This window comes from Homo sapiens, chromosome 6, assembly GCF_000001405.40.
Source record: "Homo sapiens chromosome 6, GRCh38.p14 Primary Assembly".
Classification (NCBI taxonomy): Eukaryota; Metazoa; Chordata; class Mammalia; order Primates; family Hominidae; genus Homo; species Homo sapiens.
In genome coordinates this window covers 20,456,210-20,481,536 of record NC_000006.12, presented here as the reverse complement: position 1 = coordinate 20,481,536, position 25,327 = coordinate 20,456,210, and the positions used below count along the sequence as shown (strand labels likewise).

The following is a 25,327-nucleotide window of genomic DNA, read 5'->3' as shown; positions in this document are numbered from 1 at the left end:
GAGAGAAAAGAAAAGAACGTGTGGGCGTGGATGTGAAAGTGAGGAACTAAGAAACCAGGCAGTTTGAAACGACCCCCTCAGAGCCGGGGCATGGGGAGGACTCCTACTCACATCCATTGGACGTTGTTTTTAGACTTCTTCTTAATGAGGTGGATGCCTTCCAGAACGTTGGTGATATCATAAATCCTTCTCTTTTGCACTTTTAGCACTTCTGCTGCCTTGTTCAAATCCAATACCCCATCGGGTGACTGGCTCAGGAGCTGAATGAACTTCTTGGTGAGCAGACCAAGAGACGTATCATACCGCGTTTTTTCTGAGGGAGATTTTGGAGCTTAAAGAAAAACAAAAACCGAGCGGGTGGGGGATAGGGGGAAAGGTAAAGAAATGAAGGGTGTCTTTGCAGTCAAGCAAGCTCTCTTTCCCACTGCAGCCAAAGTATTAGTATCTGAAGCAAGGCTGTCGTTGCTGTTGGTGTTGGCAAGTCATAGAAAGCTATGAAAGTTTTTTATTAGAGCAGGAAGGGAAGGTAAAAATTCCAGGGTTTGATTAAAGCATTTCACCTTGAATTTCTCAAGAGTTTCTACCTTGACTTACACCATTCCCTGGCTCCAATGAAGAATTTACATATAGCGGGCGCTAAAAAATATCTGTCAAATGAATGAAAGAGTGCTGTGGCCTCAGGGGACCAGCACACACGAGGCCTACGGTGATGGAGCCAGGCTATGAGTCTCACTAGCACTGCAGGACAAGGTCTTAAACAGACCCATCTCAAATGGCCTTTCAGGCTCTGGTATCTGTGTGTGCGTGTATCACCTGTTCACCAATTTTCCAAACAATGCTTCATTTTGATAAATAATTACCTGGAAAAGTCTTCTGCCAAATCTCCCCATCTCTCTTAAAGGAAATTTCCTTACTTAATATTGTACTTGTTCCCCCATAGGTGCACAGGTCAAGGTTTTAATTTAGTGTCACACAATTTGTGGATTGCCTAATGCATGAACTAAAGGAAGAGAGAGAACAAAGTCTAATTTAGCCCTTATGTTAAATGCAAACACATACATAATGGGACTAGTTGGCTATTTCTAACCTACGTTTCTCTCTCTCCCACAAGAAACGGTAATAGTATTTGATAGAAAGAGAAACAGCCTGCAATTTATCGGGCTCAATCAATTCTTACGCTATCATATGCTGAGCTGGAGATTGAGGTCGGCACAGACACTGGTGACTCTGGCATAGTTCGTGGACATCCAGTTTGCCTCAGACTCTGAAGCAATGTCCATTAAGGGAAGTTAAAATTAAATTTGATATAGAATGGTGCCAAAAGTTCGTATTCCGAGTTGAAAAATGAAACTACATACAGTTAAAAGAAGTCTTCCCTTATGGTACCAGTGTGACTCTGTAGCCTTTCACTGGTTGTCTGCTGACATTGTATTTATTTTTTTGGATAAGCACAGAAAGAAATGAAAAAGAACAAAACATGCCAGAATTATTCACACCTTGGCATCCTTCCGGCCATAAGCTTTGAAACTTGGAAATGCCATACCAAGGAGAATAAGGAAAGAGATGAAAAGATCCTTACTTTTTGGACTATCTGGACTTCGTAGTGCAGCTCTTCCTTTGCCCTTGGGGGTTTTTAAACCATCTGAGAGGTACTGATGACCGCTTTCTCCTAGCTCCAGCCTTCGCTTTGCCTGTAATAAGAAAGTGCGATCTCTCGTCACCGGTCATATGGACAAGAACAAGAAGGGAGGCAGTTTGTGGGCTGGCCTGCCAAATGCTGCAGGCTCATGCCAGCTCTCACCCCTCTGCTCCACCCCACTCAGCATCTTGTCATTCCCTAGAGCCAGGATTCTAGCGTTGTAGGCTGGGTTGTCATGCACACTCTCTTCACCTGCCGTGATCATCCGTCCACACCCAGATGGACAAACACAGCGATCCTTCAGCATTAGGTTCAGGAGTCACTTTGTTCATTGATTCAACACATCATGTGCCTGGCATGGGGTTGGATGCTAAGAATATCACAGGCGCCGTGGGGCTTAAATTCCCTTTCCACAGTGAGTCTTTCCTGCCCATCTCCCATTCTCCGACCTGGGTTGGACCCCCTTCCTTGTGCTCCCCAAACACTCTGTGTTTATTTGTATCATGACACTTATTCGGTATTACTGTAAGACTTATCTGTTTCTCATTTCCTTTAAGGCAGGGACTGTTTCCCATTTATCTTTGTATACCCAGTGCTTGGCACAGAGCCTGGGTTTCTGTAGATTTTCAATCACTCTCTCTATATACTGTATATTCAATGAGAGAAAGGGTGATTGGATCGTAACACAACTAGTCACAGACTACAAACGGCCCTTCATCGGGAAAACAAATACTGCAAACATGCAATCTTGGGCTTCAACCACTATTACTTTCTCCATTTTCTTATCAAGCCTAGCAAATGAGAAGCCCTTATCTAAGTTTTTAATTTAACTCCAATTAAATTTTAAAATATCCACATAGCGTCTTCTAGGTACCTAGGCATTGGGCTTAGTAAGCAAGATAGATAAGGGGCTTCGAGTCCAAGAGAAAAGATAGATGGTTAAGCAGTTGTTAAGTACTAATTGTATGGGTATGACAGGTGTTTTAGAAAATAAATGGCACCAACTGGACACTCAGCACAAAAATATGTATTTAGGCTCATTTTCAGGCAGATTCTTCTAATGAGGAGATTTGCAGTTTCTTTTTTTTAAGACAGAGTCTTGCTCTGTCGCCCAGGCTGGAGTGGAGTGGCGCGATCTTGGCTCACTGCAACCTCTGCCTCTGAGTTCAAGTGATTCTCCTGCCTCAGCCCTCCCCAAGTAGCTGGGACTGCAGGTGCACGCCACCACTCCCAGCTAATTTTTGTATTTTTAGTAGAGACGGGGTTTCGCCATGTTGGCCAGGCTGGTCTCGAAGTCCTGATCTTTGGTGATCTGCCCACCTTGGCCTCCCAAAGTGATGGGATTACAGGCGTGAGCCACTGTACCCAGCCGAGAGTTGCAATTTCAAAACAACTCCCCGTGATGTGAAAACGTAAGTAATAACTTATCAGCGGAAGCTAGATATTCAGCCCCTCTATGGAAAGTTACCAGCTAACCCTGCACCGTCTACTACGATAGCCACTGGTTACTAGCTCATCCAAACTGACATGTGCTATAATTGTAAAATACACACTGAATTTCGAAGACTTAGTACAAAACAGGGTAAAATATCTCAACAATTTTAGTAGTGATCACATGTTAAATGAAATAAATAAAATACAACTGACCCTTGAACAACATGGGTTTGGACTGTCCGTTTCCACTGATTTTATTTTTTTAGAGACAGGGTCTTGCTCTGCCGCCCAGGCTGGAGTGCAGTGGTGTGATCTCAGCTCACTGCAACCTTGTCCTCCCAGGCTCAAGGAATCCTCCCATCTCAGCCTCCTGAGTAGATGGGACCACAGGTGCACACCATGATGTCTGGCTAATTTAAATTTTTTTTTTTTTGGGTAGAGATGGGGCCTCTGTATGTTGCCCAGGCTGGTGTTGAACTCTTGGGCTCAAGTGATCCTCCTGCCTCATCCTCCCAAAGTGCTGGGATTACAGCCGTGAGCCACTGCACCCGGCCATGAGTGTGTCCACCTATATGTGGGTTTTCTTCTTCCTCTGTCATCCCTGAGACAGTAAGACCAACCCCTCCTCTTTTCTTTCACCACACCTTCCTCAATGTGAAGATAACGAGGATGAATTTTATGATGATCCACTTCCAGTAATGAATAGTAAATCTATTTTCTCTTCCTTATGATTTTTTTTTCATCCAGCTGCTTTATATGCCCATATGCCTTCTACACTTTGAACCCTGGACCAAGTTCAGCTGCTAGGAAACGCAAATTCCAGAGCATACCTAAGATGCATTGGATCAGAAACTCTGGGAATGGGGCTGAGCAATCTAACAGGCCTTCCAGGTGATTCTGATACACCTTAAAGTTGGAGAAACCTGGCTTTAGATCATAAGGGAAAAGAGTAAGACACTCAGGCAAAGCCCAGCTCTGCCCAGCACGGCCTATTTCACACACCCTCACCTCTAGTCCTGCTTGGCTGATGAGGGAAATCTATCCTGTGGATTCCACTTTCATTCATTCCAAACTTTCTTTTATTGATAACATTTCCTCTCTAACTTCATTGTAAGAATACAGTATATAATACATATACCATATGAAATGTGTTAATGACTGTTTATGTTATTGGTAAGGCTTCTAGTCAACAGTAGGCTATTAGGGCTGGGTGCATGGATCACACCTGTAATCCCAGCTACTCAGGAGGATGACTTGAGGCCAAGAGTTCAAGACCAGCCTGATCAACGTAGCAAGACCCCCCATCACTAAAATAATAATGAAAACCCCAAACAACAGGCTATTAGTTAAGTTTAGGGGAGTCAAAAGATCTATCTAAATTTTTGACTGTGTCAGGGCACCTCTAACCCCAATGTTGTTAATGGGTCAGATGTAGCATTAAAATTATTTCATCTGTTTCTTTATATATATATTTTACGATGTGGCTTGCCTCAGTGGCACACCTTATCTTTCTACTGCAGTGCTAAGTTAAACATCATTCTAATGGCTCCGGAAGGACAATCTGCTTGCTGGACTTCATCTTCCCCTCCCAGCCATTCTGTCAAGTCCTTGTGTGGGCCTGCTGTGGTTGGTCCAGCAAACATTCACTCTTTATCAGGCAGAAGCTCCCTGTTTGTTCCTTGGGGAGCCATCCCTTTCCTGGTCTAAGCGCATCTGTGCACACAGGTGATCCAGGCCTGGCTAATCATTGTGGCCCATCCTGCCCTCCCCGCCCCCACCGCGAACAGGTTGAATGGCTTATGACCAAGGCTGGAGGAGCAAAGGCTAACCCCAGGAATGTTTCTGGAACTATCTGGCAAGAAGCAGGTATGTCTTTCCAGTAAGGTTGGTAAGTGAGGAGCCTAAAGCTGCCTGAGAATGGGGCCTTCCCAGGGGAAAGCAGAGTGGAGAGAAGGAGAGAGAGGGGTCTGAGACCACCACTCAAAACTCTGGCTCTGGTCATGCCCTGGGGGCAACTGTTGGTCTTTCCCAGACTTTCCAGTTACATTAGCCAATAAACTCTCCTTTTTGCTTAAAGCATTTTTTTTTTTTGAGACCCGGAGTCTCGCTCTGTCACCCAGGCTGGAGTGCAGTGGTGCAATTTCAACTTATTGCAAGCTCCGCCTCCCGGGTTCATGCCATTCTCCTGCCTCAGCCTCTCGAGTAGCTGGGACTACAGGCGTCCGCCACCACGCCCGGCTAATTTTTTGTAGTTTTAGTAGAGACGGGGTTTCACCATGTTAGCCAGGATCTTCTTGATCTCCTGACCTCGTGATCCGCCTTCCTCGGCCTCCTCAAGTGCTGGGATTACAGGCGTGAGCCACCGTGCCCAGCTGCTTCAAGTGTTTTGAGTCGGGAACCTAGAATTGTGCTGTTGCCAGTGACAGCTTATGGAACTGGCTGAGTCAAGATGGCTATGGTGTGACAGGGAGTTGGCAGGCCTTGTTAGAGAGTGGCAGAGTGTGTTGGTCACTTCTTGTGACCGCCAGGAAGATACTACAGATAGAGAGAAACTTCATCTGAGGCTGGCCCGCCTCAAAGAAAACAGCTTTGCTATGGAGGCCTTCTCTACAGAAAGCAATCTAAGGAGACATAGAGCTGTATTCTCTGCCCAAATTAAAGTCAACAAATGGGCTGGGCACAATGGCTCACGCCTGTAATCCCAGCACTTTGAGAGGCCGAGGTAGGCAGATCACCTGAGGTCAGGAGTTTGAGACCAGCCTGGTGAAACCCTAACTCTACTAAAAATACAAAAAGTAGCCCAGCATGGTAGCATGCACCTGTAGTTCCAGTTACTTGGGAGGCTGGGGCATGAGAATTGCTTGAACCTGGGAGGTGGAGGTTGGTGCCTCCGCAATCCAGCCTGGATGACAGAGAAAGACTCTTGTCTCAAAAAATGAAAATAAAGTGAACAGAAAGAAGGCAAACTTGGAAAAGAGTCTGGGACCCAGAACTCCTAGGGACCTAGGGCCGTGCCTCAGCAGTAAAGAACCACCCACTGGTCAGCAGGCTGGGGGCATACTAGTTTTATCTCTCCCTCCCAGGCTGCTGTTTCAGACTGCCATGAGGCAAAGGCCTATGGAACCATTAAACTGTAGGTTAGGGAAATTTCCATGTCTGCTGCTAAGTGACTGAGACTTAACTTCGAAAGACCGGGACTAGTCTTCATGTGTAACTCTCGTTACTAAGCACCAAACCATAAATTGACCAAATTTGAATGCTAGATGGACAAGCTACTAAAATTGCAAGGCACTTTTATTGCGAAAGAATCACTAAGTCTAGAAAGTGAAGGTCCATGATGTTGAACCTCTAAGGAAATCAATCACTAGGTCCAAAAGCCACGCCAGAAATAAGTGAGGTGTGAAGAAGGGGCAGCCCCAGAATTCCTCCCAGGAGGTGGAACTTGGGGTGGACTTATAGGCTCTACAAACTGCTGTCCCTGTGGAGGACATGACAAGAAGCAGGAGGTGAGCACTTTATGTCATTTCCCCTTTTCAGAAGGGAGGTTCCCGTTGGGTTATCCTGTTATTTTTCCTCCCCTGTTGAGTGAACAGGGAGGGCGGAACTGGATTTGTGGGGACCACATATTACCTGTTTGGTCTCAGATCTGAACATGGGTGCAATAATTAGAATCTCTTGAAAAAGGGCTAAGAATTTTGATATTTGATGGAGCAGCATTATTTTAATGCTTAACTTAGCAAATTCAAGCACACATGCCTGGTAAAACAAAAAACTATATGACAGGATTTAAATAGTGCGGGTGAGCTCTGTCTACACCACCCTGCCCTGGGCTGAGCACCAGGGTAGATGGAAATCTCTTCTCTTGGTCATCTCAATTTTTGTTAGTTCACAGCGTGAGCATCGTACTGATTGGAGAGGTATTCATTGTTTATGCACAGATCTTTACATTACATGGCCCCTACCAGTAAAACAGCCAACTTATCCAGTAATCAACAGAAGGATGGGCCATTTGGTTCCAAGCAGTGGTAAAGCCTGGCTCTGTGAGATTCTGTGTGGAACTCCATGTGGCACCTTCCGGCAGTACTTTCAAGGGTAACTTGTACTATAAACAAGGTATGTGCTAACGTTAAAACCTCAGCCCCATGGACGTTAACATGCCTCTGCAAAGAAACAGTTGTACTGGTAAGCAGTTCTGAAAATCTATGTAGGAAAATGTATGTAGTTAGAGCTGGGTGCAATGGTAATGCGCCTGTAGTCCCAGGTACTTGGGAGACTGAGGCAAGAGGATCACTTGGGCCCAGGAGTTTGAGACCAACCTGGGCAGCACAGCAAGTCTCCCATCTCTCTCTCTCAAAACGAAAAAAAACCACAAAACCCCAAAAGAATTACCACTGGAGCCAGTGGGGAACATCTATAGTCTGCCTGCCTGATATTTGTTGCCCCTATTTTTTTTCCACTGGGGAAGGAGCTCTACTGATGTTCTTAGTTTCTATTAGTCTCCAAGCATGAAAAGACAAGACTTGAGACTGATCAACATTAGGACGACTCTTCCCATCAAAGTTGCAGAGGTGAGTACTGAATCCTGGCCTCAATCCCAAGGCTCAAGTGTCTGGGGTAAAGATGAGACCATGACCAATGCAGGAAGGGTCAGTCAATCCTGGGATTTTTCTTGGGAACCACTGGGAAAGTACTGGGTTCTTTTCACTGGGCATTATTAGGCCAGTAGGGTGCGAGCCTGGAGCTACTTGGGAAGTGAGCCAACACAGAAGAGCTGGGGAAAGGCTGAGTCCCAATCCCTTCAAGGGAGGTGCTAGATACAGCCATACCCAAAGGCACACATGCCACAGACTTTCATTTGTGTGAGCCCACAAATATCCCTTTTTGGTATAAGGCAGCTGAATTAGATTATTATTAATACCACTGATAGATACAGACCTTTAGTATTAATTATTACACAACAAATATTTGAGTGCTTATAATATGCTACGCACCATGTTAACTGTTTTCCACTCAATTTTGTTATCTTATTTTCACAACACCCTTAATAAGGTGGCTATTATTAATTCTTATTTTATAGAAGAAAAGGGAGGTCTAGTGTGATTAACTGACTTTTCCAAGATTCTATAGCCAGTAAGCACACCTACAAGTCCATGCTTATAACTACTTCATGAAAAGATTGTGAAAAGTCCCATGTAAAAATATTTGAATAGCTAGATTAAGTTGATATTGCCTTAATGACACACTTTATTTTATTCCTGATTTAAAAACTCTTCTTTACATATAATAAATGTATATGGTAATTTAAGCAGCATAAATGAGTATAAATGGAAAGCAAACTTTCTCCCTACTCCTGATCCCAGTTCCCTTCCTCAAAGGCAAGCACTATGAAGTTACTTGGATATCCTTTCAGATAGCTATATACATACTTGTATTTACCTAGACTATCTACCATCCCATCTTTAAAAAGTTTTTCCCATAAATCGTAGCAAAACACACACTTTTCTATTAATAACATATGTCCGAGTTAGACCTTATCAGAACACATGGAATGATCTCATTTCTCATAGCTGCATAATATTGTATTAATTAATATGCCACGATTTATTTACTTAAGCAGACATATACTAATGGACATTCAATACTCCTCTCCTATAATCATTTTTCCAATGAATAATCATGCTGGCATTGTGGGGTAGGTATTATTACACCCAGCTTGCACTGAGACAGAAGTTAAGGATTTACCCGAGGTCTCAGTTAACAAGGGACAGATACTAGAATTCTTATTTTTTATTTTTTTAGAGACAGGGTCTAGCTTTGTTACCCAAGCTGGAGGGCGGTGGTGTGATCATGGTTCACTGAAGCCTCAAACTCCTGGCTCAAGCAAGCCTCCCACCTCAGCCTCCTGAGTAGCACTACCATGAGTGGCTAATTTTTTTTTTGGTAGAGATGAGGTCTTGCTATTTTGTCCAAGCCAATCTTGAACTCCTATGCTCAAATGACCCTCCTACCTCAGCCTCCCAAAGTGTTGAGATTACAGATGTGAGCCTCCACGTTCAGCACAGATACCAGGATTTGAACCTCAGTCTATGCAATAATTTGTCAGTGACCATGACACCCTTGGCCTTATTGAGATTCCTTCCTCTGCTTCCATAGCAACATCCATGCTGCCACTGCACGATTTTACCACCATGACAAATGCATACTCCAGGCTTCCTCACTGGACTCTAAGCTCAGGTCATAAGCAGCTTAGTTTCCCCAGAGCCTTGCATATGGCATGCACTCAGTCAAATTGACTTATTTATTTTGAATGAACCAAGGAATAAATTCCCAAAGTCCCTTGGCAGGTAAATTACAAAGCTCCAATGTTACCAACCTGCAGAAGGGATAGATGTGAGTGTGTGTGTGTGTGTGTGTGTGTGTGTGTGTGTGTGTGTGTGTTGGAGGGGGGGCAGGCTGGAGTTTAATCTCTATAGATGACTTCAAAAGACTTTCAAGAAATATAAAGGAGAAAAATTAAAGTTGCAGAGATATGTGTAATATAAAAAAATATGAAACCACAGACTTCACTAAAATTTTTCCTAAATCCATAGAGAAAAAGGCCTGAAAATAGATCCACACCAAATGTTAATGGTGGTTATCTCTGGGAAGTCAAATTAAATGAGTAATGACTTCATGTTTACATTTCTGCAATTTTTAATCTTATTTGAAAAAGCAATGTGTCTACATATACATTATTACCATACTAACTGGCACTTCTACTTCTTGGAGTACATCCTCAACATTTAGGTTGTTTCTAGGGTTTGTCTATTAAAAACAGCACAGCCTGTTTCTTGAATATTTGATTTTTCCACATATGTCCAACATATTTTTATTTTATTTTTTTGAGTGGAGTTTCGCTCTTTTTGCCCAGGCTAGAGTGCAATGGTGCAGTCTCCACTCACTGCAACCTCTGCCTCCTGGGTTCAAGTGATTCTCCTGCCTCAGCTCCCAAGTAGCTGGGATTACAGGCGTGCACCACCACACCCGGCTAATTTTGTATTTTTAATAGACACAAGGTTTCACCATGTTGGCCAGGCTAGTCTCGAACTCCTGACCTCAGGTGATGCACCCGCTTCGGCCTCCCAAAGTGCTGGCATTACAGGTGTGAGCCACCGTGCCCGGCCTATATGTGCAACATAAATGCCCAACCTCAGAAGAAAAATTCAGTAAGTTATTATACATTTATATCTTGAAATGTTATGTAATTAATAATGATGTACAGCGACATATGTAACTTAAAAAAAGCAGGTGTGAATAGTAAAACTATTTTTGTAAGAAAATTATATGCATAGAAAGCAAGTATCTAAGGATACATACCACACACCAAATAGTTGAAAAGCATTAATCTTTGGATAGTAGGCTTATGGTGATTTTACTTTCTTCTTTTTAGCTTTTTTATATTTGAAAATCATTTTAAAGTGAGCGTGGGTTACTTGCATAACAAGAAAAGCAATATCATTTCCATTTGGGGTTAAACAGAAATCTGGTGGCTTATTTTCTAGACTGTTGAATGTCTTATGTACCATTCAATATGTACGGGTTCAAAACAGAAATGGGATATGCCACCAGAAAGGGCATCCAGCTTCGTGGTGGGGAGGGAAGGGATGTTCTTATCCACCATGCCACTGAGCCACAGGAAAAATTAAATCAAGCACAAGGCATGGCCTGCTGTATGTTAACAAACTGTGAATGCTAAAATAAACTCCCTTCTCCCTAGTTAATAGGAGATCAGGAAAGGGATAGAACTTGATAGATGATACCTTTTGTCTCAAAACCAAAGACGAGACAGGTATTTTGAACAAAGGAAGAAGGAAAATGAAATAAAATAGAAATAAAAAGAATGAAGACCAAGTTAAGTACATCAGTGAAATAACCCAAAGGAGGGAATTTCCAGCTTCATAGCAGACCACAGCTGAACCTCACTTGGACTCTGGCCATTAGGTTAGTGGGTCAGGGCATGAGGATTTTAAGAAAAGTTAGTTTTCAGCTGTAACTATGTATTAACTCAATCTGGCTCATCATTTTTGAATCCATTCAAATATTTATTGAGTGCCTGCTATGTACCAAGCCCTGCATGGGCATATGATTATAAAGGCAACATGGTGGTCCCTGCTATCAACAAGTATACAGGCAAGCAAACAATGGGAAACAATGGGAAATTTATTATGAATGAATACTGCAGTGAGCCCAGGGTGGGTCCAGGAGGGCATGAAGAGGGGTGCATGGAGAAGTGGGTAGAGGTCTGGAGAGATTGTTAAGAGGTGACAGCTCTTGAGCTGTGTTATGCAGATAAGGGAGTGAAGTCAGAGGAGTTGAATGGGCTGTCCAAATAAGAACAGAAGCAGAGATTTTGAAAAGTCCTGGTTCGGAGGTGCTTGTGAGTAGTGAGGGGCTTTGAGTACAGAATGATGAGGAAGGGGGACAGCTTATGGTCCCTTTCATGCCAAGCTAAATGCACTCCTAGTGTCAACCTGTCATTGACGAGGTTACCTAAGATGAAGGGCTCCAAAGTCTTCTCCAGCTTTTTACAGTGAGAGGTAAGTGCAGAATCTAATGAGAGTAGCATCCTCTGTGAGCCGCTGGGTGAGAAGCCTAATCACAAACCAGACTATCTCAGAGAAGAATAACTGGTGAACTGAACAGGTGTGCAGAAAACTCCAACCGTATCCCCATCCTTTCTCACTTGGATTACTAGAATGGACTCCAAAGTTGGTCATTTTTCTTCTTTTGATTTCTAAACTAGGATATTTTAATTTCACTATAACCTGTATTTGTGGACTAGTTTGGGGATCTAACCACATATATATGAATGTTTCTAAAGGAAAAGCAATCTCACTGACTTAGAACTTTTGGAATAAAAGCCATTTAACCTATGAACTGGTGACTGCGGTCCCTCCTATAGAAACTTATTTTGTTTTTAAGAATAATTTAAGACAATTAAAAAACAAATAGATGCACATGGTTTTTCAAAACCCACTAGCTCAGAGAGCCTATAATGGCTACCTTGCTGGGGGAACCACCTTTACTATTTCTCCTGGTGGTCACCTCTGTATCTCTAAGTGATATGCTCACACAGCTATTTCTGGTTTAGCCATTTTAGTTCTAATGTACTGACATCCTTCAATGATACGATACCCATCTCACTTCTTCCATTTCCCCCCAATAGTTACATAATTAGTTTTGGTTAAATAAAAAACCAGTGCTATACATCATGACTGTATAAACAGTATTCACTGCAGTATCAAATAATATACTGAGACTATATATCCTTTCTTGTAAAGCTTGTTTGTTTTCTTTGGAGTTTCCAATTGTCTTTCTAGCTCGTTGGCACCATTTGCCCTCACCAAATCCTCAAATTTTTTCCAACTCTCCATCATATCAGATATTCTACCAAATCTCCACTTTTCCTCCTGCCTGAAGCTCTCTGGCCTCCTGATATCCAGACCTGAGACTAGCTAGGGGTTCTCCAGGTCTGCTGCATGGCTGTCATTCTGCAGTTTTCCTTCACTGCATACACTGTGCTGATGCCCGAGGTGAACATCTGTCACTTGATTTGAGTGCCCAGCACCTGAACTTTCTCTCCTATGTTTAGAAAACCCCTCACTTTATCAGTCTTGGTGTAAGGTAGGCCCACTTACTATAGAAGATGAAGTATCTTTTTGTGTGCTGATGATTTGAATGAAGGCCGGCTGCCCTTAGGTGGCTTCAGGATGGACAATGGTCACTGGAAAAACCAAGGCAGGATCAGAGGGTCAGAACTTTCAGACCCATCTCTAAACCTCCAAGGAGAGGAGAGGGGCTGAAGGTTAAGTTGATCCCCAATGGCCAGTGATTTAATCAATCATGCCAACATAATGAAGCTTCCCAAAAAACCCAAGAGGACAGGGTACGGAGAGCTTCCAGGTAGCTGAACACAAGGAGGTTCCTGGAGGGTGACGCATGCAAGGAGGTCATGGAAGCTGCGTGCTCCTTCTCACATGCCTTGCCCTATGCACCTCTTCATCTGCATCCTCTGTGATATCGTTTATAATAAACCAGTAAACCTCAATGTTTCCTGAGTTCTGTGAGCTGCTCTAGCAAATTAACTGAATCTGAGGAATGGGCCGCGGGAACCCCGATTTACAGCAGGTTGGCCAGAGGCACAGGTAAAACAACCTGGGGCTTGCAACTGGCATCAGAAGTTGGGGGTGGTCTTGTGAGACTGAACCCTCAATCTGTGTGATGTGACACTTCTCTGGGTAGATGGTGTCAGAATTGAATTGGAGGACGCCCAGCTAGTGTCCGCTGCAGAATGAATTGCTTGCTTGATGCCTGGGGAAACCCCCCACACATCTGGTGTCACAACTGTAATATGCGAAAATAGTGGGAGAAACCGAGTTTGTTCATTCCTCAGCATTTTCAGAATTGGTGTCAGAATCGGGACTGCTAGAACATCCCTAGCTCATGTTTGGGAAGAAAACAGATAAAGGGGTTGGGGGGTGAGAAACCTTTGATTCCTGGGTGCCCATGTGGTCACCCATGGTATGGAGTGGCAGCTCCATACCCATGGTATGGAGTGGCATCAGTCACTAAAGGTAAAAGTTACCAATGGAATTTAGAGGTGGATCAATCTAACTCCCTGGAAGGTGGTTTGCTGAATGCATGAAGAAATGCGAACTAATAAGAAAAAAACAAAATATGCAACCCTTTGGTTATTGTTATCTGTAATAGCTAGAATGAAAGTAAAAAGAAAGTGCTGGGCCAAACCTCGATGCCAGACCAAGTTCAGATTTCAGTCAATCTATGCTTCAGCCAGTAGACTCACAGAACCTCGCTCCCACAAGGGAAAAATTATGCAGCGACATCAGAAAGCACCCCTAAGGACTTTGGGCACCAAGAAGGCAGTGTCAGGAAAGGGCAAAATCAAGAAGCCATTGAAAGCAGAGGGTATAGTGTGAAGGAATTGTTTCATTTTTTAGATTGGTATCATCAGCTTCCTGAGGAGGCTTTACTAAAATGCACTGTGAGAGTAATTTAGGAGCAGTGTCTTTGGTTTTGAATGTTGGAAGAAGGGGGACTGCCTGACTCCACCTATAAACGTCAAGCTGAAACAGCTGATACACTTTGTATTCATGCCATGTGGGGCCTGGGTTTATGACCACCAGATTATTCAAGCACTGAATATGCCTTGCTACCCAAGTCATGGTAAATGATGCGATTAGGGGCGCCCCTTTAATGTGGATGCCCCATTTAACCTTGTTGCCACAAAATCGAGAGATAGTTCAAGAAGCCTTATGAGATGTACTTGCTCAGTTTCCCCTCATGAGTCTTACAGATGCTAATACAAACATTAGGTTAATTAACAAGAGAATGATGAAGGGTAGGGGGGAAGAGTCACAGGACTCCTCACAGGAAGGTGGAAATTTTTTATGGTTGTTAAGAAATAAGGTGAATAAGAACACACTGGGCCGGGCGCGGTTGTTCACACCTGTAATCCCAGCACTTTGGGAGGCCAAGGCAGGTGGGTCACGAGGTCAGGAGCTCAAGACCAGCCTGGCCAAGACGGTGAAACCCCATCTCTACCAAAAATACAAAAATTGGCTGGGCGTGGTGGCAGGCAGCTGAAATCCCAGCTACTTGGGAGGCTGAGGCAGAGAACTGCTTGAACCCGGCAGGCGGAGATTGCAGTGAGCAGAGATTGCGCCACTGCACTCGAGCCTGGGCGACAGAGCCAGACTCCGTCTCAAAAAAAAAAAAAAAGAACACACCGATAGGGATGAAACAGAGGAAAAACAAAGAGAAGAGTCATGGGACTTTTCCCAGTATGGTGGAAATCTTTAGATGGCTATTAAGAAATGGGATGAATAAAACAAATTAGCAAGAAAAAACCCAAAAAATCCCACCAAAAAGTCAGCTAAGAACATGAAAAAGTGCTCAGCATCACTAATGATCAGGGAAATGCAAATCAAAACCACCATGCAATACTACCTTACTTCTGCAAGAATGGCCATAATCAAAACATCAAAAAATAATTGCTGGCCATGGTGGCTCACACCTGTAATGCCAGCATTTTGGGAGGCTGAGGTAGGCAGATCACTGGAGGTCAAGAGTTCAAGATCAGCCTGGCCAACATGGTGAAACCCCATCTCTACCAAAAATACAAAAAGTAGCCGGGCGTGGTGGTGTGCATGAGTAGTCCCAGCTACTCAGGAGGCTGAGGTAGGAGAATCGCTTGAACCTAGGAGGTGGAGATTGCAGTGAGCTGACATCACGACACTGCACTCCAGCCTGGGTGACAGAGCGAGACTCTGCCCACACCCCCCGCCCCGCACCCCAAAAACATGTTGGCGTGGATGTGAACAGGGAGCACTTCTACACTGCTGGTGGGAATGTAAACTAGCACAACCCCTATGGAAAACAGTGTGGGGATTCCTTAAAGAACTAAAAGTAGAAATTACCACTTGATCCAGCAATCCCACTACTGGGTACCTACCCAGAGGAAAAGAAGTCATTATTCAAAAAAAATATTTGCACACGCATGTTTATAGCAGCACGATTCACAATTGCAAAAATTGGAACCAACCCAAATGCCCATCAATCAACAAGTGGATAAAGAAACTGTGGTATATATATATATGATGGAATACTACTCAGCCATAAAAAATGAATTAATGGCATTTGCAGCTACCTGGATGAGATTGGAGACCATTATTCTAAGTGAAGTAACTCAGGAATGGAAAACCAAACATCGTATGTTCTCACTCATAGGTGGGAGCTAAGCTATGAGGATGCAAAGGCATAAGAATGACACAATGGACTTTGGGGACGCAGGGGAGTGAGGGATAAAAGACTACAAATTGGGTGCAGTGTACACTGCTCGAGTGATGAGTGCACCAAAATCTCACAAATCACCACTAAAGAACTTACTCATGTAACCAAATACCACCTGTTCCCCAATAACCTATGGAAAATAAAAAAAATTGGGATGAATAAAATGGAAACTGAAATAAAATGAGGTTAAAACAAATGTTTTAATGCAACACTGTGGAAGGCTGGATAGATCAAAGGGAAGTCCTGCTGGTCTCTCGACATAAAGGGGTTTGAAAAATGTTTGCTACATTTACCCTAGTTTGGAGAAATTTAAAAAGTCAGAGGCAGAGATTACAATGAAGGATCTGATCTGAAATTGCCTGGGGCAATAGTCAGGCAGATTAATCAAGAAAAAGACTGACAGACAGCAAAGGTGTCTTGGCCCAGTCCCCTGCTGGGTACCCACAGCCTTATGGACACAAGTGGGAAAATCGTCTGGGAGGTGAAGAATAATTCCTGGGACTCCTCGATATGGGAGCCTTAAGCACTGTGCTATCAAAACCCACTGGGCAAGCCCTGACTTGGGCTACAGTTAAGATTGTGAGAACATAAAAATGTAAGGATTGCTAGGATGATCAAAGCTGGGATGTTTAAGTAGGCTTTATATAAGGAAGTTGTGCCTCTTTACCTAAATGATTTATAGGAATGGATATTATGTCTGTCCAGGGAACACTTCCCCTAGCTAGTACTGAATTGTACGACCGAAACCTGTTGGTAAAGGCCTAATGAAGGCTACAGTTAGGAAAGTAAGGGTTGATGGAACTAAGGTAAAAGTTTAGAGAGAGGTGGTATATTTGAACACACTTCATAAGAAATAGCTGTGTCTCTTTATCATGCAATGGACATTACATCTGAGTGGGAAATGCTCCCCCTACATAGTACTGTAAAACAGAAGGCATGCAAATCCACCCTTTGAGCAATATTAATTGGACGTGCTAAATGGGAGCCAGCAAGGTTGCCCAAGGCCACAGGGCGTAGAGCAGAAGCTGACTGCTGGTGGAGACATATCCTGGAGGCATAGTCCTGTGTGGAGCCTAGACTGAAGAACACAAAATGACCCTGAAACCTGAAATAACCATGCTGTCTGGGGGTGATGTCACAGGAACACTGTAATGGGGATGGCAGTGCCCAGAAGAGTTCTATCATAAAATGGAAATGGTTTATAAGAGATCATGCTACCTACCTGAGGAATGCAAGGAGGAGATAACCTCCCCCTTAGGCCTGACTCTGGAACTGTGTGAGGAGCTGCTGGATTCTTCAGTGTCTGATAAACAGCTCTCTGATTGACTGACAAAGAGCTGCTGTGTTTATGATGCATTTCAAGGCAGTTTCAAGGTGAACAGACAACAGCCCATCTGATCACCAAAGGCCAATGATGCAATCAACCATGCCTATGTAATGCAGCTTCCATAAAAGCCCCCGAAGGACTGGGTTTGGAGAGCTTCTGAATAACTGAACACACAGAGGTTCCTAGAGGGTGGCACACCTGGGGAGGGCATGGAAGCTCCACACTCCTGCCCCCATACCTCGCCCTGTGCATCCCTTTATCTGTACCCTTTGTAATATCCTTTATAATAAACCAGTAAATGCTGTTTCCCTGAGTTCTGTGACCTGCTCTGGCAAATTAATCAAACCCAAGAAGGGGGTTGTGGGAACCCCAATTTATAGCTATTCAGTCAGAAAAAAACAGGTAAGACAATCTGGGGCTTGCGACTGGCATTGGAAGTGGGGGACAGTTGTGCGGGGCTCAGCCTTCAACCTGTGGGATCTGACGCTATCTCTGGGTAGATGAAGTAGAATTGAACTGGGGGACACCCAGCTGGTGTCCACTGCAGAATGAATTGCTTGCTTGATGTCTAGGGAAAGTACCCCCTGACTCAGCACATCTGGTGTCAGAAGCGTGATGTGAAACTACAGTAGGAGAAACTGAGGTTTTTAGTTCCTCTATATTCTCAGACATACCCAGCGAAAACCTTTTAAAATCTCAAGGCAAAATAGGGACTTTTTCCCAGAGATACGAAAGCCGAAAGAATTCTTCACCAGTAGAATAGAGAAAATATTAAAGGAAGTGCCTCAAACAGAATAAAATGATGTCAAATGGAAAACAGATCTAGGCGAAGGAATTAAGAGCAGTAGAAATGGTAACTATGTGGGTAAATATGTTACATTTAAATCTCTCTCTTTGTTTTTACAGATAGGGGACTTCACTATGTTGCCCAGGCTGGTCTCGAACTCCTGGCTTCAAGCTATCCTCCTACCTCAGCCTCCCAAAGCACTGGGATTTTAAGTGTGTGCCACTGCACCTGGCCACAATTTACTAATTTTTAAAATTGATTATCTTTTAAAGAGATTTGGCCTGGTGCAGTGGGGCTCATGCCTTGTAATCCCAGAATTTTGAGAGGCAGAGGCAGGAGAATCACTTGAGACCAGGAGTTCAAGAACAGCGTGGGCAACAGCAAGACCCGGTCTCTACCAAAATAAAAAAATTAGCCAAGTCTGGTGGTGCACACCTGTAATCCCACCACTTAGAGGTTAAAGTGGGAGGATCACTTGAGCCTAGGAATTTGAGGCTGCAGTGAGCTATGACTGCACTAAAGAGTGAATGGGGGCTGAGGTGGAAGGATTGCTTGAGCTCAGGAGTTTGAGTCCAGGCTGGGTGATACAGTGAGACCCTGTCTCAAAAAAAAAAAAAAAAAAAAAAAAAAAAAAAAAAAAAGAGAGAGAGAGAAAGAGAACAAAACAAAAAGAACAAGATAGAGAGACCTGCCCTGCCCGATACCCAGGTTTTTATTGTGTAACTATAGGAATTAGTGAACTAGGCAGGGTGTGGTGGCTCACGCCTGTAATCCCAGCACTTTGGGAGGCCGAGGTGGGCGGATTACCTGAGGTCAGGAGTTCAAGACCAGCCTCACCAACCTGGTGAAACCCTGTCTCTACTAAAAATACAAAAATTTGCAAGGTAAGAGGGCGGACACCTGTAATCCCAGTTACTTAGGAGGCTGAGGTGGGAGAATCGCTTGAACCTGGGAGATGGAGGTTGCAGTGAGCCAAGATCACGCCACTGCACTCCAGCCTGGGTGACAGAGTGAGACTCTGTCTCAGAAAAAAAAAAAAAAAGAATTAGTGAAATATGTACAGGCATACCGATAGGTAAATAGACCAAAAGAATAGTATAGAAAACCGAGACACAGCTCCACACATACATGAAGATGTCATATATTACAAATGGGACACTGCAGATACTGCAAAGAATGGACAATTTAATAAACTGTGTATCGGAAAAATAAAATTGGATCCCTCAAACTACATACAAAACTCAACTCCAGACATACTGAGGTATAAACAAGAGACTGCACGGGAGGGCAGCACAAATCACACGTGCTATCTGTCAACAAAAGGCCACAGTAAAACAATGGAAAGGTAAGCTACCTCAGCATTATTATCCAGAATAGGTAAAGAATTAGGAGTAGCCAGTAAGAAAAGAACATATAACCCAAGAGAAAAATTAGATAAAAGACAGGAATAGGGGATTCCTAGAAGAGACTACTAAATGGTTGAAAATATTAAAATACGAAGTCAGAGAAATATAAATTAAAATGAAATAGCCTTCTCACACTTACAAGGTTGGCAAAAATGACAAAGTCTAAAAATACCAAGTGCTGAAAATACGAGAAACTGATACTATGCTTGAAGCCAGGGGTTGACGGGGAGGGCCCCTCGGGAGAAGAGTTTTATCAATATTTAGTGAAAACCATCAACTTCTCAATATGCACCATAAACTCTTGCGCATATGCACAAGGATGTGTACACAAGAATTTGTAGAGCAGCATTAGCACCAGGCTATAGTTATCAACACAGGCCAATCACACAAATATAGTAGTGAGTAAAAAACAAACAAAAAAACCTCAGAATGTATACGGCATCTTTTTATAAAATTTTAAAAACATTGAAAACATTACTAAATAGCATTAGATTAATAAATACGTAGTAAAAGTAGACATACACAACACAGGCAAAGTATGAGAAATGAAGGGAAATGTAGTGGAAAAAACAATGCATTTGGGGAGAGAAACAAGACTTCAAATGTATTGTCTCGCTCTGTCGCCCAGGCTGGAGTGCAGTGGTGCCATCTTGGCTCACTGCAAGCTCTGCCTCCCGGGTTCACGCCATTCTCCCGCCTCAGCCTCCCAAGTGGCTGGGACTACAGGTGCCCACCACCACAACTGGCTAAGTTTTTTGTATTTTTAGTAGAAACGGGGTTTCACCATGTTAGCCAGGATGGTCTCGATCTCCTGACCTTGTGATCCACTCACCTCGGCCTCCCAAAGTGCTGGGATTACAGGAGTGAGCCACCGTGCCCGACCTTCAAATGTATTGTTAATGTCATTTCATGGGTGCTATTCTTTCTATCTTTTGCATCTGAAATGTTTTATAGTAAATTAAAAAATTAAAAACAAGTGTCAATTAGTGAGGCAGAAGAATGGGCATGAGACTTAGTATAACTATTTTGGAGGATTACCTGGCAGTGTTAATATTTAAAATATACATGGCTTTTTTTTTTTTTTTTTTTTTTTTTTTTGGAGATAGAGTCTTGCTCTGTCTCCCAGGCTAGAGTGTAGTGGTGTGATCTCGGCTCACTGGAACTTCCATCTCCTGGGTTCAAGTGATTCTCCTGCCTCAGCCTCCCATGTAGCTGGGATTACAGGTGTGCACCACCACACCCAGCTAATTTTTGTATTTTTAGTAGAGATAGGGTTTCACCATGTTGGCCAGGCTGGTCTCGAACTCCTGACCTCAGATGATCTGCCCTCCTCGGCCTCCCAAAGTGCTGGGATTACGGGCGTGAGCCACCATGCCTGGCCAAAACATGCATGACTTTTTGACTCTACAAGTGTACTTCTGGGAATCAATTTATCTTAGAGAAATACTGAAAAACATGCACAGGAAGGCATGTATAAGGATGTTTATTATAGCACTATAATCAACAGGGGTAAGTTAAAAATCTAAATGACTATTGTTCATTAAAAGGGAATGGTTAAATAAACCATTTTATCTTATATACCCATATTATAGAACATTATGTACCTGCAGTATTCTATGGCCAAGGTACATCTTTCCTTTAACAAGTAAGGAAAAAAACAAGTCAGAACTGTAGATAAGGCATGGTTTCCAATGTAAAGCCAAAATAACCACTGTTGAAAATACATAGAAAAAGGCCTGGAAGGAAGTCCATAAGTGAGGAGAAGGGGAAGGGCTGAAGACGCTAATACATCCTATATACTTCTGATAGAATGTGTGTGGGAATACATAATCTGTGTAATTCATTTGTAAAATTGGTGAAAATAGAATAAAAACAAAGGATACACATGTTAAAAACAAACAAACAAAAAAGTCTAGGGAAATTGGAGGAACCAGTCAGCCCGTGAGAAGTTCTGAGACAGCTGGGCTTCTGGGAGACAAGTCGTGGGAAGCCTCTATGAACACTGACAAAGAATAACATTTAGTGAAAGAATGAATGAGCGGATGAGAGAAAAGAAGTGAGCAATGGGAACCCCCAGATTTTAGGATTATTGCCCATTTCTATAACATCAGTTCTCCACTTCCCCAAAGGTAGGTAACTCACAAGTTTTCTTTTTCTTTTGAGACAGGGTCTTGCTCTGTTGCCCAGGCTGGAGTGCAGTGGTGCAATCACTGTAGCTTCAATCTCATGGGCTCAAGCAATCTTCTCACCTCGACCCCCCAAGTAGCTGGGACTACAGGTGCACGCCACCACACCTGGCTAATTTGTGTATTTTTGGAGAGACAGGGTTTCACCACATTGCCCAGGCTGGTCTCGAACTCCTGGACTCAAGTGATCTGCCCGCCTAGGCCTCCTAAAGTGCTGGGACGAAGAGTCTGGCTGTAACTCACAGATTTTCAAAAGGAAACAAAAATGTATCCAATGCCTACTGTGTACTTCCATATCGATTATTTTAATTAAAGGAAAGTGGATCCTCTAACAAACCTTTAATTTGTTAAGATAAAAAAATTTTCTATGTATTAAAAAAAATCAATGTAAACGGTGACATCAATTTTCAGCTACACTGACTGTTCAGATGTATACTTTTTAAACATAATATAGTGGTAACGGGAGGTTTCAGAACAGGCTCTTCATCTAATGATATAAGTGGTAGTTAGTTTTCATAGCTGGCATCACTGTTCTGAAATCAGTACATCTCTTCAGATAACCCGTGGGACTTCATTCCTCCTGCTGTTCTTCCCACTGAAGCTCTTCCTGGCTATATGACCTTTTTTTGTTTGTTTTCAGATGGAGTTTCACTCTGTCACCCAGGCTGGAGTGCAGTGGCACGATGTTGGCTCACTGCAACCTCTGCCTCTGGGGTTCAAGTGAGACTCCTGCCTCAGCCTCCCGAGTAGCTGGGATTACAGGTGTCGGCCACCACGCTAGGCTAAGACTAACTTTTATATTTTTAGTAGAGACGGGGTTTCACCATGTTGGCCAGACTGGTCTCAGGTGATACTGACCTCAGGTGATCCAGCCGCCTTGGCCTCCTAAAGTGCTGGGATTACAGGCGTGAGCCACCGCCCCCAGCCCTTCCAGGCTATATCACTAAAGAAAAAAAACAACTGTGGAAAATCTGATGTAGACCCCATTTCGTATGATCCCTGACAAGCTAAATACAGGATTAAACAACTTGTGAGGTGACAGAGTCATCCGAAGACACCCAGCCTGGGGCAGATAATGGAAGAACCTTTCTTACTCTAATTGTTCTTCCCAAAGACTTCTAGGGAAGCATCCTGGAACCACTTCTGGGGAACAGAATATTAAAAATGCAATCTCCACACAAAAAAGCAACACTTTTGCCCCTTTGTCACACCAGAGTTTTACTGACAAGCCTATTTTTGGGAAATCTCCTAATGTTTAAAGGACAGAATGGAATTAGGGCTTGGAGAGTGAGTAAAGTTACACTGATAAGATATGGGTTGGCTCTAAGAAGAGAATTCAGTTTTCTTAAAAACAACCAAGAATAGAAGCTTATCTCCAAGGTCCACCGGCAAGCACCACCATGAGTGAGCTGTTTTTTCTAAGGCTGAGGAAGTGGAGAAATGGTCTGGGAGGGAGGTGCAGAGAGGAGCCAGTGGGCAGAGCAACCAACTCTGGTAGGTATTGCTTGACCTACCTATTTAATTTATAGATTAGGGGTTAAAGACCCCTCGGTATGGGGAAGACAAGATATGAGTCTTCTCTTTCAAAATCTCCCCGGCAAAACGACACAACCATGAAAGTAGAAAAAGCACACGCGATTCTTTAAAAGGAGTCAAATTCCTCCACTCTCATTCTGAATGACTCCCTGTTACAGTAATGTGGGCAAACATTTTGATAGAGATTATGGATCTGAAGCCTCTTGCTTACCCACTGTAAGTTCAGAACAAGGTCTTAGTTAGCCTTTTTCTACTTCATAATGAGCCACTATCTCTGAGGTTCAGAAGAAAAATCAAACAGAAAGGCCTACGGCAGTGATTGCTAATGAATACATATGAAGTCATGTTCATTTTTCAAATGAACATAAAAAGATCTTGAAGAAATACTAGACAAATTGCTATGAAAAATGTGGGCTGGAATAGCGATCCAAAAGCTCTAAAAATATACAAACTTGATAATACTGAATTCAATGAAAATTATACTAAGAAAAATGTTCTTTACCTAAATTAATTTTGGAAAAAAAAATGGTAGTGTGTTGCTGCAGGAAAGGGATGACAGTATTAACTTTTACTGGTGATAAAGTCAATAACAAACTATGACGTCTATCAAGGACCCTGGCTCTATTCAGCAGCTCAATGATTATAGGAAGAGCAACAATTTATTTGAATGGGAATTTTAGCTCGTGCAGAACAAGGACTTCTCAGGAGGCAATTGTGGCAGGTGTAGCTAGGGGACCACTCTGACAGTTTGTCTCCTTTTTATGAGTGTTTATTTTCTTACCCACTTACCTCTTTGCTACGTCTATCCTATATACCTTCCTACAATTCTAGGTAATGGATGCTGTCGCAGTAGATGTTCGTTAATTGGGAGATTAAAGAGAGAACGGGCTAGGTGCAGTGGTTGACACCTGTAATCCCACCACTTTGGGAGGCCGAGGTGGTCGGATTACCTGAGGTCAAGAGATCGAGCAGCCTGGCCAACATGGTGAAACCCCATCTCTACTAAAAAAAAAAAAAAAAAAAAGAAAAAATAAGCTAGGGATGATGGTGTGCTTTTGTAATCCCAGCTACTTGGGAGGCCGAGACGGGAGAATCGCTTGAACCTGGGGTGCGGAGGGTGCAGTGAGCCAAGATGGGACCACTGTACTCCAGCCTGGGCAACAGAGTAAGACTTCTTCTCAAAAAGAAAAAGAGAGAATGAAGGATCTCAAAGGGTACACTAGCTGAACCTGACAAGTCAGGGAACATTTTTTCCCTAGGCTAAACTTATTTCTAGGTGTAGGCAAAGGGGGTGCGGAGGAGAAATACTCTCTTCATCTCTGAAGCCATACCTACGTCAGATCCTCCCACTGACTCTCCTCCTGCTGGTTCGAAGCCTGGAAACCTCACCTGTGGGCAAAGTGAGTTCATAAACCTGAAATGCATTGCTTTTCTTGATAAATGACCCCAAATGAACTTCAAAGAATTCTGCATGAGATCTTACCTGAGAATTCATCTAGGGATTCTTATAACCAACTTTTTGCAATTAATCATTACAAATGCAAAGTAATTATCTGGTTATTTAAAAAGCAACAAATAATTAACTGTGTGAGAAACAAACCTTCATAATCTCTACAATCAGTTAAGGTTTATGAATCTGAGGCCATTATTTATAAATTAAAATTATTTAATCCCCCAAAAAGCCCTCAATACTTTTCTTAAACATAGTTAATGAATCTTGTAATGACTTTGGTACTTTTTTAACTAGTGGACTGACATTAATTTTTTTTTAACAAAATCTATTTCTATTTGTATTCGCACATTGCATTGCTCACTAAAATATGTGCGCGAGTGCGTGTAGGCAGTCATTTCATAAAAAGCAAGGAGGAAAGGAGACAGGACTATTTGAATCACATTCCAATTTAGGAGAATGCTCTTTATGACAATGTTCTCAGAATGGTTTATAAAGGTGAATAAAATAAGAAACTACAAGAACAGATACATTAAAATGAGTGTTATTTCCATTGTATAATTCTCCTTGTCAGTTTGCAAAATAGAACCTAATTTTTTTTTTTTTTTTAACTGGGGGACTGGAGGAATGGCAAGAAACCTTGGTTGAGTTCCCTGGGTCTCGGTTTCTTCATCTGTACAAAGTGTAGAGAGGACTAGAAAATTCACTGGCAT

At 42.9% G+C, this 25,327-nt stretch overlaps 1 protein-coding gene across 9 annotated transcripts in view, besides 1 other annotated feature; it reads right to left on the bottom strand.

Moving 5' to 3' along the window:
* The window catches only part of E2F3 (E2F transcription factor 3), a 91,836-nt gene that overhangs the window by 12,178 nt on the left and 54,331 nt on the right, over positions 1-25,327 (bottom strand). For 6 of the 9 annotated variants that reach the window (NM_001949.5, XM_047418266.1, XM_047418265.1 and 3 more), the window contains exons 2-3: positions 1,580-1,691; positions 112-331 (exon numbers count right to left, since the gene is read on the bottom strand). In NM_001949.5, coding sequence (NP_001940.1) covers positions 112-331; positions 1,580-1,691 — 332 coding nt within the window. Of the gene's footprint in view, positions 1-111; positions 332-1,579; positions 1,692-17,144; positions 18,156-25,327 lie in introns of those variants that run through there. The other 3 variants (XM_011514324.4, NM_001243076.3, XM_017010330.2) reach the window with 2 other exon arrangements.
* Positions 13,974-14,615: an enhancer, noted in NCBI's record as "OCT4-NANOG-H3K27ac-H3K4me1 hESC enhancer chr6:20467153-20467794 (GRCh37/hg19 assembly coordinates)". NCBI's record gives its function as "activates a minimal SCP1, AML or CMV promoter by ChIP-STARR-seq in primed H9 embryonic stem cells {active_cell/tissue: H9 hESC(primed)}" and the evidence as "EXISTENCE:reporter gene assay evidence [ECO:0000049][PMID:30033119]".